Here is a 21,699-nt window from a genome sequence, read left to right as displayed (position 1 = left end):
TTCACAGTAGCCAAGATATAGAAACAACCTAAGTGTCTATCAGTGGTTGAATGTGTAAAGAAAATGTGGTATATACATACCTTGAAATATTATTCAATCATAAAAATAAGGAAATCTTGCCATTTGCAATAGCACTGATGAACCTGTAGGACACTATCCTAAGTTAAATAATCTACACACAGAAAGAAAAACACTGTATGATGTCATTCATACGTAGAATCTAAAAAAGTCAAACTCATAGAAACAGTAAAGTGTTGGTTTCCAGCATCTGGGTGTGTGGAAGTGGGTAATGGGGAGATGTTAGTCAAATACTACAACCTTTCAGTTATAAGACGTGTAAGTTCTGGGGATCTAATGTACCATATGGTAACTAGAGTTAATAATATTGTAATATGTTTACTTCAAATTTTAGAAAAGAGCAGATTTTAAGTATCCTTACTACACACACACACACACACACACACACACAAACACACACACACACACCAAATGTATTAGTCTGTTTTCACACTGCTATAAAGATAGTACCCAAGAGTGGGTAATGTAGAAACAAAGGAGGTTTAATTGATTCACAGTTCTGCATGGCTGGGGAGGCCTCAGGAAACTTGCAATCATGGCAGAAGGGGAAGCAGGCACTGTCTTCACAAGGTGGCAGAAGAGAGTGTGAGTGTGTGAAGCAGGAACTGTCAAACACTTATAAACCCGTCAGATCTCATGAGACTCACTCACTGTCATGAGAACAGCATGGGGGAAACTGCACCTACCTCCCTCGACACATGGGGATTACACGTCCCTCTCTCAACATGTGAGGATTACCATGCGAGATGGGATTTGAGTGGGGACACAGAGCCAAACCATATCACCAAGTAATGATGGGCGGTGATGGATGTGTTAATTTGACTGTGGTAATCATGACACAATATATATCTATATAAAATCATAATGTTATACCCCTTGAATATATACAATTTTCATTTGTCAGTTAAATATTTTAAAATTTAAAAATTAGCTTTGTATTAAAAAATAAGCTTTATTACAAATGTCTTTTGTGACCTTCAATAATATGGGTGCTTTACATAAGATTTCTAATACCTCTAGGTAGGTTTAAATTCAACTTTCGGATAAGGAAACTGAGTCTCAGAAAGGCTGAACAATTTGATTGTCAGTCAGATGCTGATGGGGGATTGATTCCCCACGTGTTTAAGACTCCAAAGCTCTTCCCTCCCACTATGCCCCATTGCTTCCTAAATGTGATAAACTTTTTAAATTACTGCTCATATAAAACATAAACTAAAATACATTATCATAATCAATATCATTTCTTAACAAGCTAAATATACCGTTATAATGGTATATGTATGGCTATGTGTAACACTAAGATATTTTGGAACCATTTATATGTACAATTGTCAGACATGAATTTACGCACAGGCATGCTAAGGCATAAAATCTTTAAAGTGCCCCTGAAAATTCAACAAATCAACAAAATGGAATGAGAACACAAGATCAAAACCTTTTTACAGACATAGCTTTATATATAATATATATTTTTACAACCATGAGTGCCTTAAATTGCTTTAAAGGAAGCCACATTTATTAAAAAAGATATTTTTAAGTTTTAAAGGGATAAAACACGTCCTTTAAAATTAAAGTTACCTTTACAATTTCAAATGATGCAAAGCAAAGAATTTCAGAAAAAGAAGTAAACACTATGTGGCTGTTTTGTATAAACTATGACCTTAAATGGTCACAACATCAGAAAACTTTGTCATAATACTGACTGTTAGGGACTAAATGAGTGACCAAGGGTAATTTATTAATTTAATTAAGTCTCTTTGAACTTCAGCATTTTTATCTGCAAAATTAATGGGTTAAGCTCACCGTAACCTTAAACTCCAGGGCTCAAGCAATCCTCCTACCTCAGCCTCCTGAATAACTAGGACTACAGGCATGCACCAACACACCTGGCTAATTGTTTTAATTTTTTATTTTTGTAGAGACAGGATCTCCTTATGTTGCCCAGGCTGATCTCAAACTCTTAGTTTCAAGCAATACTCCTGCCTGGGCCTCCCATATGGTATTTTGTTATAGCAGCTGAAGGGACTAAAACATTACCTCTTAGACCCCTCCTTAACCTTCCTTTATTAATCTGGGGTCTTTCTGAGACTGGACATATGTGAAAATTAAACTTCTCATGTGAAGGTATATTTTTAAATACTTCAGACATCTAAAAAGACAAAAATGTTACGTAGTCTGAAAAATGTGATGTAACTTTAGATTTAGAGTTTACAAAGTGAGTCCTATGGAGTCTTGCTCAAAGTACTCATAGATGTTAAATCTAAATACAGTTCACTATATATTCTATACAGATTTAACTATACTACATCAGCGGTGTATATTTAATTCCAAAGCTGTTCTAACAACAATATCACATACAAATTAAAATCAGGTTTAACATAGTATAACACACAACACAAATCTTTATGTGTGTGTGTGTGTGAATGGACCTAAAATCAATTTTCACTCACATTAAAAGGCTTAAAATCAACTCCAGACCATTTTTTTCATCTCTTCTAGACTATTCCTAGCAATTTAAAAAAAAAAATTGCTGATTTATTTTTCTACTAGAAATTGGAGCTTATTTTTCCTCAGTCTCAGAGTTTTCATAACAATTGACATTTGGAACTATAAGTTGAAGATAGACTATCTATCTATAGCCAGATGCTAAAAATTATGAACAATTTATATATTTTTTAAAATACTGTTTTGAAAACAATTTTGAAAATTTGAAAAAATAGTTTTGAAATATATATAAATAATTTTTTATTTACCTAGATTTAACCTTTGAACAAATCACTTCCTTTATGTGATATATAAATATTGTTCAATTTCTAAAAATAAATTATTGTTGCTTGACAAAACTATAGTTAAATATCCAGTATCTCTATGTAGAAAGAAAGTGTACATGAAATTGGAAAGAGATCGCGGAACGATTATATGCTTGATGAAAAACTATATTTTGAAAACTATATTTTGAAGAAACCAGTATACATATAGTGAGGCATCACTCTGGATTTGGCCTTAGCAGCAGCAGTGACAGCCAGGGTTGCAAACAAGGGAGAGATAACAGAGATGTTGACAATAAGTGACAACTTTTCTCTCATACTAGGATCTTTTATTTTAGAAACCATGCCAAAATTTGTATCAATATCTCAAATATTTTCACTTTAGTAGTTTGGATTTAGACTTCATTCATTCCAAGAAAGACTCTTTTTAATTAATTTATTAGAGTACAGTAGTGCGCTACCCCATCTGCAGGGGACATGTTTCAAGACCCCCCAGGTGATCCCTGAAACTGAGGATAATATCTAACCGTATGTTTTTCCTATACATACATACCTATGATAAACTAATTTATAAATTAGGCACATTAAGAGATTAACAATAATTAATAATAAACTAGAACAATTATAACAACATAGTGCAATCAAAGTTATGTGAATAGCGTCTCTCTCAAAATATCTCGTAATGTTTTCAGACCAAGGTTGACCACAAGTAACTGAAACTATAGAAAGTGAAACTGTGGATAAGGAGAGACTACCGTATTGTTTCCAGAAATTTTCATGTGTCTCACAAGAGTTTATAGGGCTCTGGTATATGTATCACTGATTTAAAGTAATACTATTTATATAGTACTTATCTCGAAGTTATTTTTAATGTTTATCTCTTACATTTGAGCAATTGTTGGAGAAGAAGAAATTCTTATTTCTATTTTTAGAGGTGTGGAAAGCCGATAGACATGAATCTTAATTGATTTGCCAAAGGTCAGATAGCAAGTCAAAGGCAGTTCTTGGCCCAGAACTCTAATTTGCTGAAATCAGCTCTGTTACTAATTACATATATGTATTGCTCAATTGATAACTATATTCTTCTATTGCCTCTGAGAATGTAAGCAACACTTAGATCTTATTTTACTTGCAAATGGTCAATCAATGAATCATTCAATAAATATCATTTAATAAAATTTAGTATTTTGGTATAACCAACTTCTGGCTGTGCAATTACATAGGTTAAGTATAGAAATAATTATAGGTGGGATACAAAAAGAACTTTTCCTTTCAGTAGAGAGCCTACTTGCAGAATCAGGTAGATGAAATGTCACTTTTATGTATTATTATTTACAACTGTGGACATCCTGTGATCCAGCAACTAAAATGTAAACAGTGGCCAGCGTGCCGCAGTCTGTACTCCAGCATTGTGGCCAATCAGGTACCAGATGTTCAGTATTTCTAATATATTACAGAGTCCCTATAGACTTCATAGCATCCCCTTCCTTGTTCGCACCTTTTCTTTAGGCAGATCTGTCTCCTCTGCCCCAGTGTTTCTAAAATTCCTCTCTCTGAGGACTAAAGATTTTTCTCCTATAATTAGTGACAGCATAATAGCAAATAACTCAGGTAAATTTGCCACACCACATACTATGCATAAATTATTATTAGAGGTATTTCCCCCAAATATCAGAGTTTGATGCACTGTAGCAGGGAAAATAGAGAAATATTAAGCAAAAATGTGGAGGAGGTTAAAAAAAAATAGCTGGGGATACTAAAGATGCGTTTTCCATTTTCTGGGAGTACTGCTTGGTGATGTTCACTGAGACTGAGGAACATGAGTTAGTACAGTGACTCGTGGATTCAGGTGAAGAAGGTAAGTAAAGAAGAAAGTGAAAGCCAGCAGAACCAGCTTCCCAGCTAGGACTCTGCAGTAGGCATAGGAAGAGGAACATTGGATGCACATTCAAGTCTTGAGTTGCAATACAGCTTTAGAAATAGAGGTGATTCGAGTGATTTTTAGAACATCTGCAAGAATAATTTCACTGGTTTCTAATGACATGGCTTGATAAGAAAAAGATTAGACAGTATTATTTTCATGATGAGCTTCATATAATTATCTCTATGCTTGTACTCTGGTTCATATTATATACTGTGATCTTTATGAAATATGATTATGGCTAGCCCTAGCAATATGATTTCCCACTTTCCTGCATGAGCTACACATGTTCTTTCCAGGTCCACAGAACCTAATATATTCAGTCATGTAGTGTTGCCACCTTTCTTCACTACCCTTATTTATTTTATCTTATTTTTTTTGTAAGCAACAGAAATTTCACTTTTGCATTATATGACTCCCCCCACCCCGGGTCATTAATTGAAAACATAAACAAAAATGCATATATTTCTGAAATTTACGAACACTCTTAGTATATCCTTTTTCTAAATCACCCAGCTTTTATTCACTGTGTTTCATTTCCTGCTTTTGCTCTTTTGTTTTTAAGAAAATATAAGAAAATGCAGTTCAGTTAGTGTGGTAGGGTTTGGCAGAAAAGAGTATAAAAATTAAAAATTAGAGAAATAATCTGGTCAAGTCATTTTGAAGTTTACTTCATTGTTCCACCTCTAAACTCTGGTAAGTATACTCCTTTTATTTGAAATACCTGTCCTCACTTCTTCACTTGGTTAACATCTGTTTTCTTCTATGCCCCATTCACTCCTTGACTTGACCATGGCTGTGTTATATACTTCCTTCAGTAGTTCTGGACACCCTGGGCTTTACACTATTTTAGCCTCAATCACATTGTTGTCATTGCCATTAGATTGGGGATTACTTCAGGGCAGTAATAACGTGTTTGCATATTTTTATTGTTAAATCTTACAGTTTGGTCTAGGAAATTCAATAGACATTTGTAAGAAGCAAAGAAGGAAGGGAGATAGAGAGGGAGGAATGGCAAAAGGAAAAGAAACTGTAGTTTCTAAGTGGTTAAAAAACATTAAGTAATAATGTTTGTCCCTTAGATTTTAACTCCACAATCTTGTGACTATTTACATTGTTTTTATTTGTTCATAGAAATGTAGCTAGAGGTTGGTGGAAGGAGCAGTTGCTTATTCTAAGCGCATCCTCAGAAAGTGGAGTGTTTTTAATTTTTGTTTTTAAAAATGATGTTCTGACATGATAGTTGGTAAGACAGTGATGAAAAGGCCTGAGCTGAATCAGTGTGAAATCCAGACCTTGAGACAGGAGAGAGTGACTCCTCTAACAGCCTTCTGTCTTGCTAGCATGTTGGATGCAGTATGTGTTTCATAATTGCAGCTTGATGATGGCAGTGATAATAAAAGTAATCATCAGGACAATAATTTCCAAAAATCTTTCCTTTCCATTTCACAGTACACATTCCCTTGCATTTAGGGGCAGTTTCGTTTTATTTTTGTTTACTCTTCCACTATTTCACTTAATGCAGACAAATTCTAGAGGCACTGTCTCTAATAAATAACGTAAGAAATTTAGAAGCAGTAAGTGAACTCCATTTTCACCTGTGCAGAATAGCTCAAAAATGCTCTATTTCTGTGAAAATGTCAATTATTTTTGAATTATCAAGCTTATGTTAACTGTTCACCAAATTCTGTATTTCTATAAAAGCAAAATGATGGTCTGATGGTCAGCACTATCTGCTTTTCAACCATGACTCAGATTATTGCTGGCTAGATTTCTAAAGATCCCAAAGATTTCTTTTAAACAACTAGTCCTAGAACAGCTACCAGCCCTGATTCTTCAGTCTCCTTCTGAACAAGCTATCAAGAAATGCTGCTGAAGGCATTTCCTGTTTCCTTTCCACTTCTTTAAGATTTCTATGACGTACTTAATCTGGGTCTTGTGCCCTGTCAACTTTTAATAGTTCTAATTGCTCAACTATCTACTCTTGTGTGATCATAAAATCCTTTTAACATTCCACTTTTCCCCTCAAGAAAATGTATCCAGTTTCCGGGACGTGACCTTCAGCTTCATTGGAAAATACGCAGGCAGAGAATTCATTCAGGCTTTCGACTACTGCAGCCTCATCCGTCCCTGCCTTCCCACTCATCCGCTTAATGGCCCTATGGATGCCTGGCTAGGTTGTATGCTTTTACAGTATAAAAGAAGTTTGCCCTCCAATTTGGTAATTTCGGTACCTCTTTTTCTCCCCTGGGTCCTTTTTAGAGTTCCCTTTCAAGTATTGAGGATTTGATTTTCTATTCCTTTAAAAATTGTGGATCCTGATAAAGGAAGGGGGAGGCTTTTCTGTGCTACATCTTTCTAGAAGCTTTACTTTTCTACTTTGGTCTTGTAAAATGCTAAACAAATTTATCACTTATTAGTGGGAATGGTGTTTTGGGTGATACCGTGTTTATAAAAACCACTTCCCTGCTATTTACCCTGAACTTAATTCAGTGGCTTGTCTTTTTCTGAATTAATGATTATATGCTGTATTTTATTTTGTCTTCCTACACTTCCTTCTTGTCTCTAAACACCTCTAGCTTCTATTTGGGATTAAATCATATGCTTAATGAGATTTAATCACGGCTTCCTATACTCTCCTTTGAACCCTAAATATTATTTAATTCTAAACCTAGCATTCTTTCCTCCCTTTTCGGGTGATGTACACATTAAATTAGAAATCAGCTTTGCACCAGATCCAGCCTCACTTCCTCCACTTGATGTAATCCTGTGCTATGGCAAGATAATTAAAATCTTCCACTGTTACTACCCTGCCCTTTTCTTGCTCTGTCCATGCGTGTGTGTGTGTGTGTGTGTGTGTGTGATATTTGCAGTTCATTTCTGCCAAGACAGCCTATAACATTACTGTTATCACATTTTCAACCAATTTATAATACATTACTCCTGTCCTTCATCATAGCTTATTTCAGAAACCTATCATTCAGGAATTATCAAGTTTTCCCCACAAACAAAGAAGCATCTTTTTTTTGTTTTTGTTGATTCTCACAAATATGAGTACCTAATACAAGGTAGTCATTAAAAGGTTTATAAAAGCCTCGGAATTAATGTACTGACATTAACAAGGTTTTGTTAAGCAATAATTGACCACTTTATGTACGCAATTACACATGGTGGCTAGGAAATTATTATGATATATGCACCCGTCGCATGTGTGCTCATGACCTTATAAAATGGCCGCATATTTTAAAAAGAAGCAGAGCCCTGCATATAAAGGAAATTTTGAAAATCTAGGAGCAGTCTTTGGATTGTTTGCTGCCACTGCTTCTAGGCAACAGGCAAGAGATGTTTACAATCTGGGCTCTCCCCTGCCCCCACCTCTAGGAGCTTTTCATCTGCTGCTGCTGCTGCTGTTGATAGAACTACAAGACCCAGTGCCTCAGAGTGCCCCTCCTCCACCTCGCTTCAATCTCCTGGAGCCCAGCTGTTAAGGCCTATCTAGCTAATCACCCCCTTTACCACAAGGTTCTTTTGTGGAAGTTAATGTCATGTTCAGAGAGGACAGTGCTGCAGGGAGAGCAGAGGATTTGATTTCTCACTTTACCTGTGAGAAAAACAGCATGTGGAATAAGGTGCCTCTCTTGTCCTTGATGCTTGACTTCATTGTCACTCACCTTCTGCTGCCTTGGCGTAGCCCAGAGAAGTGGGATCTCGGTTCTCCAGCTGAGAGTTGAACTTAGAATAAAGACCTTTGACCCTGGCTTCACAAATAGTCTTTCTTAAAGAGGATGCTCACATTTTCCAAAAAGATAAAGAGAAAGGAACATGATTTTAATTTACTTTCTAAAAACACATGCAACCTTCACTTGTTTAAGAAATGGAGGGGGTAGAAATTTAAGAAAATGAAAATGATAGAAGAATATCCAATTCTGAAGCTAACTTATTTTTGGCCTTAGGAAACAAGCTTTAATTTTTTTTTTTTTATCTTGTGAAAGGCAAGAGGAAGGTATTTGCAAAAGGAAGGAAAGATATGTATTTGCGTATTGAGAGAAATAAAATTTGGGGACTGGGGCTGTTAGGCCAAGGTTACTGTTTCAGTTGCCAGGAAACCTATATATCTTGTTTTGATACTACCCAGAGATGGCTGAGGCTGACCAAGTAGAATGGCAGCTGAATTTTGAACATGTCAGCCCGGCAAAGTCTGAGTGACAGTCTTTAGGGATGTTGTAGAAGGCCTTAATTTCTCCACTTGAGGGGAGGATAGACTAGATCCTCTCTTAAGAGTGCTTTTAATCCAACTTTCTCTGATTAACGATGACCTCAGTGTATCATGCACAGTCAAATGGAGAGGTCTTCTAGTCTATTTATCATGAATCCAGACTCCAGGATCTGATGCTTTTGTTCTAACCCTGGCTCTATTGCTTTTCTTCAGTTTCTTTATCAGTAAAGTGGAGATGATACCTCATAGAGTTATTATATGATTTAATGAGATAATACTCATAAATCAGAACAGAGCTTGGAACACAGTAAGCACTTGAGAAGTGGTAGCTATTATAATTAACATCTTTTTGATGAATTAAAGGAAAGAATTGGTAATTAAAATTCATCTTCATGTTATTTCCTATATTACTATCACCTATATTACTATATTTCCAATATTACTATATTACTATACTATATTCCTATATTAGTAATATAGGAAATACTAACAAAATTTGGTTAGTATTTAATATTATTGGGCCAAACATTTTCCAAACTCTATCTATAAATTAGAAGTGAATCCAACTTAAAAATTATTCTTAAAAAAATGTGTTTAAATGTAGACATCTATGTTCCTTAATGAGATCAGGTTGGTAACTGCAATTCTTATGTCTGTGGATCCTTGTTTCCTTCAGACTCTCAAAAGAATATTAATAACTAACATCTGTTTAGTATAAGATGAGTTGGCGAATATAATCACATTTGATCCTCAACCTAGACCTTAAAATAATGTCATGGTTATCCTCATTTTACATAGTGGAAATTAGACTCACTGGGGTTAAATGATTCTTCTGATTTTCCTTTTTTAAATCATGTTCTTTTCTCACTATGTGCTTGTGGTTCTATCACAGAAGACGAGGCATTGAGTAGAGATAGATGGAAAAGACGGGGAGAAAGAATGAGAGGTGAGAGAAGAAGAAAGAAAAAAATAAGTGTGCAGAATAATAAGTTATTCATATTTGTGCTGCTGACAGAAAACCACCACAGACCCTAACGTCTATGAAGCATCTAGCGTCAGGGCCTCAGTTCTCTTTCAAGTCACTCCATGAAAAGGCATAAACTCTGATTCCTAGCCCTCACCCACCAGCCTAGGTACAAACAGAAGTGCCTCTCTCAAATACCCTTTGCCTTTTCTATGTGAATTTCTTTGATATTTCAAACATTTACTTACCCAATTGTAAGCGAAAGCTGTAACTGGCAGAACCAAATAAGAGTTTGGCTGGAAGTATTGAACTGTGATGCTCTGAATACAGTTTGTTTGGTTAAGGCTGGTCATAGAGAGTATGGAACACCTGTACTTTCAGAGCTAGTCCTGGATACCATTTCATTTGAATGTAAATGTGTTGACTTTAATCTGTAAGATTTTATTTGACTTGGACCCTTTTACCTTAGAGATCATTTGTCTTCTTTTACACTCTCATGGCAACTGGGAGCTACTAAAGTGCATTTTGTCATAATTTAACTGCTAAAGGCAGCTGTGTGTGTGTGTGAGAGAGACAGAGAGAGAGAGAGAGGGAGAGAGAGCACTCTTCCTATTTCCCAATCAGTTCCCTGTAATACATTCATGAGTTGTTTATCTCCATGCAGCATTTGAATTCCTTTCTTAAAGAACACTTTAAATGGCCTGAAAGAATACCAGAAGCCATGATATATATTATTTAACTGCATCAGGAACCTAATCCTAGAGGAGAGACTTCAGGAAGAAAGATAGGTTAAGATTTGCACACCCCTCTGATTGAACACATTCCAAGAAATAGAATTCAGGTGATTATAAAATATACCTAACCTTGCTGGGAAAGGATGCTGCAGTGGGCCTGGGTTGAGTATTCTCCTGTCTCGAAGAGGAGAGAGATTTTTGTCCTCTGGTTGTGAGTACTGGTGGATTTTTTCTGCTTTAAGCATATTAGTAAATCTAATACCAAAAGAGAGCACAGAAACATTTCCTCATTAAGACGGACGTAATGAGAGAGAGGAAGAGTTGATATTGCCTTGGAGATTAAAAAAAAAACAATATCTAGGAGGGAGATATAAAAGGATTTAGCAGTAAGGAACCAAGTGTGAATCTTTCAAACCATTGAAGTTATAGGAATTGAGTACCTAGATGAGGCAGACACACAGAGATCATAAAAACAGAATTACAAGGGAATAATCCTAATTTTTAGGATAATTTTTCAAGAATCTGACATTTTTGTGACTTGATCTCCCCTGCATTTTATAGTCCCAAAATTTCCTGATATTATTTTATGTTAATTTAGCAACTTTTCTAGCATGTTGTGGTGTAAGTACTTGAAAGTAAACAATGCTGAACTGTTCATGAAAATTATCTTCACAGTTGGTGGATTGAGTCTGTTGTAATTTTGCTTGAAAATACTTGCTCCTATGTGGACAGTATTTCTGTTACAAGGGTTATAACACACTTTACATTCCCATCTCTAGAAGCCAAATCACATAATATTCCGTAGAATGGTATAAAACCAAAGGTTTAATCTCTCATGAATGTATACGAAAGAAACACACAGCTGATGGTGGAGAGTGCTATGCCAAAAATTGAGATTAAGTGAAAAATCTAAATTCTGAATGATAAGACTCTTGGCCCCCTTCCCTATTCAAATTTAAGAACAGCATCAGTCAGGCCTGCATCTCCCAGGTAGGAGAGTAGAGCATAAGTTTGGTAGATAATGTCCCAGGAGTATTGAGCTTTTAGGGTCCTCTCAAAATTGTTCAGCCTGAAAACCTCACACTGCAAAGAAACAGCCCATGGTCACAGAGCATCCAAGCAGCATCTTAGCACCCAGTTTAAGCATGAATGGACCACCAAGGACCCCAGATATATGAAGAAGAAAAAAAAAAGCCAGGACATGGAAGGTAGAGCACAAATAAACAAAGCATAAAAGACCTTTGCAGAAACATTTTAAAAATTCAGAGAGCAGAATTTTTTTTAAAAAAAAGCTTTTATAATTCATATCTTTATATAAATGGTGAAGCTGCTGCAACCTAGAAATAAGAAGAGAAGAACATAAAAAAGAAAGAAGTACTTTCAAGTGCTTTTGGAAATATAGGAGGGATGAAGAATTCATCTGAAGGATTAAATTACAAGCTTGAGCAAACCTACCCCACAATAAGCAAAGATACAGAAAATAGCAAAAAAGTTAATAAAATTAGGTCACTGTAGGAGGTTAATATTTTTAAAAATCAGAGATTTTTAAAGAGATCACAGAAAAAAATGAAGTGCAGAAAATGATCAAATAAATTATTTACCAACATTTTTCAGAATTTAAGGAGTTTTCAGATTTAAAGGCACTATTCTGTTCATAGTGCCTTTCAGTCTAAAGGGTATCCTTTGCCCCCAAAATAAGATTCTAAAACTTTATGAGGAAAAAAAATAAATTTCATTAAAAGGATTGGGAATCAAACCAGCATCAGACTTCTCAAAACTAACTCTGGTAACTAGAAAAAAATAGAAATGCGTTGAAAATTATGAGGAAAATCATTCTGAGAAGACATATAGAATTTTTATAGCCCAGTTAAAGTTTTAATCAAATATAAGTGTACAACATTGGACATGCAAGATCTTAAGAAACTTGCCTCCCATTTACTCTTTTTGAAGAAATCACTAGAATCTGTGTTTACCAAAAGAAGTGTGTAAACAGAGGAGAAGGCTTATATGGGGTCCAGGAAACCAGAAATCCTTAACAGGAGAGCGGTAAGTAGAGAAAGAAATTTAAATAACAACAACAACTAAAACCAAAGAGACAGTGAATATGATTATGGAATATTATACAACTAAACTATGATGCTATTTACAGTTTTCATAATGCTGAAAGTGAATGTTAATCTTACCAAAAATTATTATATGGCCATTGTTAGGAAAATGGGTGTGAGTGCATGTGTGTGTGTGTGTCAGTCGCACATAGAAAGGAGTTGGAGTAAATATAAACGACATACATTTTCTTCATCCAAAGTAACAAGTCAACAGATAATAGCTAAAACTGTAAACTCAAGAGGTTTCTGAATGTATATTTAGGCATATGGAAGAAAATATCAAAAAAAGGGTGAAAATAATTGAAATCAATTGCCTTTAGGGAATTGGGAGACTGCTTTTTTTTGTTGTTTTTGTTGTCATAAACCTTGTGCAACTATTTGTCTTTTTGTCTTTATAAGTTTGATAGGGAAAATTTGAAGCAGGAAATTTACATACTACTAGAATAGTGAGAGGAAATCATATGAATGGTGGATACATATAGGTCTAGTTAACCCTTAATGTAGACCTAGGAAAGTTCCTAGAAAGCTATTGAAACAAGGAGGGCAATGTTAATCAGCATCTGTAAAGTAGGCAGCATATGGCAGGCATTTGGTTTAATACTTATACCTATGCCGGAAGGTGAAAGAAAATGATTAAAGAGGTAAAAAAAAAGATATAAAATAGTCACAAATGCCTCTGTTACTGCACAAGCATCATAATTATTTCATAAAACCTCACTGCTACATTTTGTTCAACCAGAAAATAAAAAATTCAAATATCATTAGTAGCTGATGGCAAATCAAAATGTTTGAGATATTTTGAGAAAAATTATGGGAACTTTTCTATAATTTTCAAAATGTGTTTTCTATGAATAATTTGCTATTATGGTGGGCAAAACTTGATCCAAATGGAATCAATATTTGTAGCCAATATACAAAGAACTTACACATGAATTTATGAAAATTATGTAGAGAAACCAGTGTCGCAAAGAAAGAGAACGTATCAAATTACAGATTTTACAGAATTGTTCTGATAGAAAAAAAAGTCAGTTGTAGAAGTATGATAATGTCAGTTGTAGAAGTATGAGTTGTAGAAGTATGATTTTACTAATGTAAATCAGGAAAGGTTGTTACACTTTCTTCCTGAAATCTCCGTGATCAAATCTCCCGTTTTTTGTTTTTTGTTTTTTTTTTTTGACATCTAGCCCAGTACTTGGGTTATGGTGGGTATTCAATAAACATCTTCTAAATGAATAATTAAATAAGTAAATGAATAAAATTTTGGAGGTAATATGAGAAGTCTAAAATCACAAAGTAAACCTGAAAGGACCTATTCTATTTAAAAAGACTCATGTCATATAGATTCTATAGCTCTCATTCTATCTCTTAAAAGTCTCACTATCATATGTCTTGTTATCTCTAAATTAAACCTTCAGTTTCAGAGTTTAAGAATATTTTCTCTGTTTCATCCATCCATTTTTCAAAATGGAAGCTCTCCTTGTAGAATGGATCACGGTCAAGCATAGAGTCTAGGTAAGCTACGGATGTGATGAGCCTGGAAAAATTCAAGTCAGCCATGTGCTGTGGTTTTTACAAATATCTTGGACCTACTGAGAAGTCAAACACCTAGCCAAAGTTTCAAGAAGAGCTAGAATTAGCAGGAGGTTATAAAATATTTGAGAATAACAAACCAAGGTTGAAGGATGTGACACAATCCTCACTCAGATTAGCTCAAGGGGATTTCATGAAGACTTGAAGGGTTAGGGGACATGGCTCACATCTCTGACTGGGTGTGCTGGAGTGTTGCCTGGCTTGTATAGCTGTCTGTGAATAGTAAATTAAGCATCTTTTACTGCATTAAGGGAATGTGTATCATTTGTCTGTACATATGGGTGTCTTTCTGTCAATCACATAATCATCATCTTTTTGACAACCATGCAATCCTACAAGTAAGAAACGTTCAGATATGTGGAAACCATCCTACCTTTCAACTTTCCCTTCTCTGGATGGAGTGCCTTTTTAAAATGAGTTATTTTCAAGCCATCTAATCATCAATGCTTCTGCATATTTGCCACAAACATGTTCAAGCTTGTAGAAAGTTCTCAATATATATATATTTTTAAAATTTTGAATAGTGATGTTTATTGTTTCTCGCATACTACAGTAGAAAGTAAGTACTCTTTAACATCAGGAACCCCCATGCTTAGATCTAAGTTTTGCAATATATTCTGGGTCCTTTGGAAATTATTTAACCTCTGAACCTAATTTTTAAATAAAAATACTACAAAATTAGAGAAAAAATTACAATGCAATTGCGAGGATTATTATAATAAGGTGAAATGTGTAAGGAAATATACCTGATACCTAATAAGCATTTAATAATGTGAATTTCTCTTTTATGCATTTTTTATCAATATGATAGTTCTTGATGTCTCAAACTCATACGAAGCATTTATTCTTATATATTTACCACAAGATTTAATGTTCAAAGTATAAATAGGATCATAAATTAACACAGGAGTTCAGATTGGTCTTACTGAAAAATATTGAAAAAAACTCTATTGATTTTTATGCATTGTTGCTAGTTTACAGACTCACTTTGTTGACAGTAGGCAGCAGCTGTGTCTGAAGCTCCAGAACTCTTGCTGGATGTTCTCCTTCAGCTTCTCTGAGTCATGGACCAGGCACAAATAAAGCTTTTAGGTCAAGTATGCCAGCTTTAAATGCAGGTCATCCATGTTGTCAGGTTTAGTTGCATTGAGAGATAACTGCAGGCAGTTTCCAGTTTGTGGGTTTCTGTTTATTCTTGTGGATTACAATTTGCCTTTGCTTTCACCCATTTCATGCCCACCTTTTTTATCTCTATATGTATGCCCTACTTACATTTCATGAATTCAGATCCACCACCAGACACAGAGAAAACAGTTTTTCATAGATGTCATTATCAGTTCCCACAACTGCATAACTTCTATGAGAAATCCGTTGTTTCTTATTTGTTATAGTGATTCCCTTAGCCCGATTGAATCCTAACTGATATGTCATAGGTTAAGTAGCTTACTTTCTCCCAATATAGTTATGTTTTTGGATTTGCATAGATGACCTTTTCTATATCTGAGATCCAGTAACTGATCATGTTTAATTATTTCAGACGATATAATGTTGTGTTAGCTATGAAAGCACTGTTTGCATCACACTGACATCTATTATCCCTCTTTTTGCCTTTAGATAGTTCATATTTGTTGAGCCCTCAGTATGTGCCAGGGACTAGGCTAAGTAGCTTTCATTATCTCATCTAACCTTGACATAATTCTACGAAGTAGGCTCTTTAGAAATGGGTAAAGAAAATTTCAGAGAGGGTCAAGTTTTGATATTGGGTCTATGTTACTGGACCATAGTTGGTGGCCCATTTGAAAAACTACCAACACATCAGTTTACAGAGAGTCAAAAGTGTTATTTACAAAGTATGGTGACATCAAAATACAGAAGAAGCAAATATCAGAAGTTAAGATCAGTGACTAGTAAAACTTTATTTGGATAAAGGTCATACATACAGATAGAAAATGGTAGAGCCAAGCATCTGAGTCTAGAATCTGAATATTAACCACTACTCTACACTACATCACATTTTAGCACTATACTATTTGAATCAGCTTGTCATGCCTTCTGGAATTTTGGTTGGAATTGCATTAAATATATTGATACATTTGAGGAGAATTGACATCTTAAAAATATTATCTTTCAGCCCATAAATCTAGTATATTTCTCCTTTTGTTTCAATTGTCTTTACTTTCTTTCAGCAAATTTGTATTAAGTGTAGAAGTTTGAAACAACTTTTGATAAATTTATTCTTGAATATTTTATTCTTCTTATTTTAAGAATATTTTATTCTTACAATTACCTTTCCCAATATAGCCAACCTATTGAATAGCCTAATTGGGGTTCTCAGATCAAGGCTGGAGGAAGTTCTGTGACAATAGAAAGATACAGTGCTTTTTGTTCTCAAAATTTGGGGGTATTTATGAGGCATGACCTGATATTTAATATAAGCTTCTGTTGAAGTGATTGCAGACAAGATGAACATTTTGAGAATCTAGGCGCAGTTCCAATATTATGACAATGAGAAGAAAGTTAAATGGTAATGTGTCCAGAATTGGTGGGTTCTTGGTCTCACTGACTTCAAAAACGAAGCTGGGGACCCTCGCGGTGAGTGTTACAGCTCTTAAGGTGGCGCATCTGGAGTTTGTTCCTTCTGATGTTCGGATGTGTTTGGAGTTTCTTCCTTCTGGTGGGTTCGTAGTCTCACTGGCTCAGGAGTGAAGCTGCAGACCTTTGCGGTGAGTGTTATAGCTCATAAAAGCAGTGTGGACCCAAAGAGTGAGCAGTAGCAAGATTTATTGCAAAGAGCGAAAGAACAAAGCTTCCACACTGTGGAAGGGGATCCAAGCAGGTTGCCACTGCTGGCTGGGGCAGCCTGCTTTTATTCTCTTATCTGTCCCCACCCACATCCTGCTGATTGGTAGAGTCGAGTGGTCTGTTTTGACAGGGTGCTGATTGGTGCATTTACAATCCCTGAGCTAGACACAAAGGTTCTCCAAGGCCCCACCAGAGTAGCTAGTTACAGAGTGTCCATTGGTGCATTCACAAACCCTGAGCTAGACACAGGGTGCTGATTGGTGTGTTTACAAACCTTGAGCTAGATACAGAGTGCCGATTGGTGTAGTTACAATCCCTGAGCTAGACACAAAGGTTCTTCACGTCCCCAACCAGACTCAGGAGCCCAGCTGGCTTCACCCAGTGAATCCCGCACCGGGGCTGCAGATGGAGCTGCCTGCCAGTCCCGCGCCGTGCGCCCGCACTCCTCAGCCCTTGGGTTGTTGATGGGACTGGGCGCCGTGGAGCAGGGGGTGGCGCTCGTCCAGGAGGCTGTGGCTGCACAGGAGCCCAAGGAGGGGGTGGGAGGTTCAGGCATGGCGGGCTGCAGGTCCCGAGCCCTGCCCCACGGGAAGGCAGCTAAGGCCCAGCGAGAAATCGAGCGCAGCGCCGGTGGGCTGCACTGCTGGGGGACCCACTACACCCTCTGCAGCCGCTGGGCCGGGTGCTAAGCCCCTCATTGCCCGGGGCGGCAGGGCCGGCCGGCTGCTCCGAGTGCAGGGCCCGCCAAGTCCACACCCACCCGGAACTCCAGCTGGCCCGCAAGTGCCGCGGGCAGCCCGGTTCCCGCTCGCGCCTCTCCCTCCACACCTCCCTGCAAATGAGGGAGCGGGCTCTGGCCTTGGCCAGCCCAGAAAGGGGATCCCACAGTGCAGCGGGGGCAGCCCGGTTCCCGCTCGCGCCTCTCCCTCCACACCTCCCTGCAAATGAGGGAGCGGGCTCTGGCCTTGGCCAGCCCAGAAAGGGGATCCCACAGTGCAGCGGGGGCAGCCCGGTTCCCGCTCGCGCCTCTCCCTCCACACCTCCCTGCAAATGAGGGAGCGGGCTCTGGCCTTGGCCAGCCCAGAAAGGGGATCCCACAGTGCAGCGGTGGGCCAAAGTGGGAGCCCAGTCAGAGGAGGCGCCGAGAGCGCGCGAGGGCTGTGAGGACTGCCAGCACGCTGTCACCTCTCAGTAACTTTCCCCATGAGCCTTAATTTTCCATTTATTCAAATTAGAATTTCTACATGAAAATTGAAGTTTTATTTTTTTATTTTTTGAGACGGAGTCTCACTCTGTTGCCAGGCTGGAGTGCAATGGCACGATCTTGGCTCACTGCAATCTCTATCTCCTGGGTTTAAGCAATTCCCCTGCCTCAGCCTCCTGAGTAGCTGGGACTACAGGCGCATGCCACCAAGCCCGGCTAATTTTTTTTTTTTTTTATTTTAGTAGAGATGGGGGTTTCATCATATTGGCCGGGATGGTCTTGATCTCCTGACCTCGTGAAACACCCTCCTTGGCCTCCCAAAGTCTGGGATTACAGGCGTGAGCCACCGTGCCCGGCTGAAAATTGAAGGTCTTTTTAAGAGTAAATAGGCAGCAGCATATACTTGTTCACCAGAGCCATACTATAAAATATAGAATAATGATGAGTGAATGCATTGGCTGATTATGATCCTAGTATTCAGGATTTAACCAAAAAAAAAAAAAAAAAAGCACTGGCCTCATTTATAAATTCTTAAAACTATCTACAAGTTGGCAGCCAAGGTTATTTGGGACTCTAAAAAGGTGGTAGATTAAACTTCTGGTTCCCCTTCCCTGCATAGATATTTGCTATGACCCCATTGATGGTGGTGTATAGTTTTCTCCAACTGGGGACTTTGAGCTTAGCTATGGGACTTGCCTGGTCAAAAACATTTAGGGGAGGAAGTGTCAAAGAGCCAGTTCCAAGCCTAGGTGTTAAGAGCCTCAAGGATTTCTACCAATTCTCTTTGTAGCTCTGCCACTCTTATAAGAAAAACTGTGCAGTCAACCTGAGTGATGAACCAGGGATAGCGGAACCTACAGCTTAACACAGAGCAACCCAGCCAAGCCTCACCTTCACTATCAACCTCAGATCTCTGAAAATAAATGATTAACTGGGGGTTGTTTGTTCATCAGACTCACTGTGACAATAACTAACTGATACTGAAATTGGTACTGGAAGTGGGATACACATAAAATACATACCATTAGATTTGGGACTGAGCAATGGATGAAGGTTGAGAAAATGGGAAGAAAGCTAATATATTTAGAAAAATAACAACATTGTGTAGAGGTAAAATATTTACTAAAACTTTTGCCTGCTCTAACTAGGAAAATAAAAATTGTATCTCACAAACTTGTGGACTTGGACAGGATGGTTTCTAGGCAATATGGGAAAAGTGTGAGCTCATCTCTTTTATATGTATATAATGTATTTCTACAAAAAATATACATAAAGAGATAGATATACAGAAACAAATCAGATCAGAAAATAATTTTAAAGTTTGTGAGCAGAATGTTATAAATCCAGAAATTGCTGGCTTGGGAAATTAAACTATTCCTCATCTTTAGCTTCTATAGCCAGGAAAAGATTCTCAGATTAAGATACAAGATGAGAACAAAGATGAAATCAATATTGGTATACAGCCTTGAGTCATAGAACCAACCAGGGTTCAGCCCTCACACCATTTATTAAAATCTCTGAAAGAATTAAGGTCATTTCCAGTAGATTCCTTCCAAATATAAAAAGGGATCTAAAGAAGGGCTTTCTAAATAAAATAACCTGCTTTGATTTAACTATATATGATATAGAAAATTCTAACATTGTAACAGTTTTATTCAAACCAGGCAAGTTTAATTTTAAACATATTCATCTTGAATTGTATAAAACAACCAGATTATATATTTTAGAAAGTTAACATTTTATTTTGGTAGAATATTTTGTTTTTTGACTCTCAGGAGCAACTTTTATCATGAAAATAAAGTGTTTCCTATATAAGAATGTAATCGTATTACAAAAGTTTATTGGCATAATCCCATAGAAGCCTAATATGTCCAAGATTAAGAGTAGAGAGAGAAGCATGCATCAGAGAAAATTGTAGGTTTGGTTTTTGGCTGATGAAGTGTTCTAAAAAAATATATAGAAGGTCCACAATATTTTGAGAGATTTGATTGGCAAAAAGCAATGAAAGCCAGGACTAAGATGGACTGGGCCTGCTGAAAATATAAGACCTTCCAACTGTCTCACGAAAGGAAGCAGCCGAAGGCGATTGCTCAGCTTCTATAAAGAGCATTTTAGACAAAGTCCTCTGTAAAAATGGACAAGAAGGATGATTGGGGAAAAGGGACATCCAAACTAGTAGACAATGCAGGAGAATAAAAAACTGGGGACCACTTCCTGGAAGCAGAATTGGGAATTTTACTAAGGACCATTCTCTAATCCTAGAGAAGGGAGACTTAGTAATATTTTCCAAATGGGACTTCAAAATTACCGTCTACCAAGGCTTCCTATGTGCCTGTATCCCATTCTACTCTCTTTGGCTTTCCAAATGGAAGAGCTTATTGCTATTATTCTTTCTCTGTTCCGGAAGTGTATTGTGTTTGGGCGAAATAACTTGCCATTTTAGTTTATAGGTTTCCAAATCAAAAAGAGCCTCATCTGGACTAACAATGATTACATGATCCTGAACCTTGAGCTTAATGTCATGTGACATGAGACTTTTAAAGATTCTAGGATGAGGGTGTTTGTTTCAGTTTAGTTTTGGTTTGGTTTTGCATGGGGTGGTCTTGCAAATGAGTAATTGTGGCCAAGAGTGTAGATTAGAGTAGATTGAAATCTTGTCCCCAATTTTCATCCTTTCTGCATCCATATCCTTGTCATGATCTCATCCAGAGCATAAAGTTTATTCCTATGCCTTGATTTTGACCTTAGCCTTGCGTGTTGCATTGTCCGATTGTATGTGGATGGAAGTGATAGTGTGCCAGTTCTTAGCCTAGACCTTAAGTGGAATTATTATTTTTCTACTTGCCCTCTTTTTATCTGCGCCATCTCCATAAGGAAAGTTTCCCTGCTGACCGTTCAGCCAAAATGGACTGAGTGAACCATGCCCAATCAGACCCACAGCTGGAAGCAGAGGCACCTATTTAGGTCCAGTCTAGATTAATTTACCCTAGCTGATCTTCAGATCTGTGAGAAGAGACTACTGTTGTTTTAAGCCACTCAGTTTTGGAGCAGTTTGGTTTGTTAAACAGAGTTACTGTGGCAATATAGAACTGATAGATAATGTACCAATATTCACAAAGGAGAAGGAACAAAGGGTAGCATCAGAAGGAAAGAATAGATCTGCTAGTTCAGCCACCCACTTAGCCAACTAGACTGCCCATTTTAGTTACTGACCCTTGTCCTAGTTCATTCTAACCCTACTAAACGTTTTTTCATATTCAGATGACTGCAGTTAGCAGTGTTAGGTGCTACAGAGATCTAGAATAAAGGAGACCAAC

The 21,699-nt window shown here is 37.1% G+C and overlaps 2 long non-coding RNA genes across 2 annotated transcripts in view, besides 2 other annotated features; one reads left to right on the top strand and one right to left on the bottom strand.

Annotated features, from left to right (window-relative positions):
• Positions 1 to 21,699, bottom strand: part of CXXC4-AS1 (CXXC4 antisense RNA 1) — a 206,628-nt gene that overhangs the window by 97,611 nt on the left and 87,318 nt on the right. The gene's annotated exons all lie outside the window — the stretch shown is intronic.
• Positions 1 to 21,699, top strand: part of LOC124900745 (uncharacterized) — a 141,925-nt gene that overhangs the window by 55,958 nt on the left and 64,268 nt on the right. The window lies entirely within an intron of this gene.
• Positions 7,963 to 8,544: an enhancer, noted in NCBI's record as "OCT4-NANOG hESC enhancer chr4:105512595-105513176 (GRCh37/hg19 assembly coordinates)". NCBI's record gives its function as "activates a minimal SCP1, AML or CMV promoter by ChIP-STARR-seq in primed H9 embryonic stem cells {active_cell/tissue: H9 hESC(primed)}" and the evidence as "EXISTENCE:reporter gene assay evidence [ECO:0000049][PMID:30033119]".
• Positions 8,146 to 8,205: an enhancer, noted in NCBI's record as "active region_21766". NCBI's record gives its function as "activates an Ori minimal core promoter by ATAC-STARR-seq in GM12878 lymphoblastoid cells {active_cell/tissue: GM12878}" and the evidence as "EXISTENCE:reporter gene assay evidence [ECO:0000049][PMID:35858748]".

Source organism: Homo sapiens, chromosome 4 (genome assembly GCF_000001405.40).
Source record: "Homo sapiens chromosome 4, GRCh38.p14 Primary Assembly".
NCBI classification, from domain to species: Eukaryota; Metazoa; Chordata; class Mammalia; order Primates; family Hominidae; genus Homo; species Homo sapiens.
The sequence above is the reverse complement of the archived record's forward strand: the minus strand, read 5'-3'. Positions and strand labels throughout refer to the sequence as shown.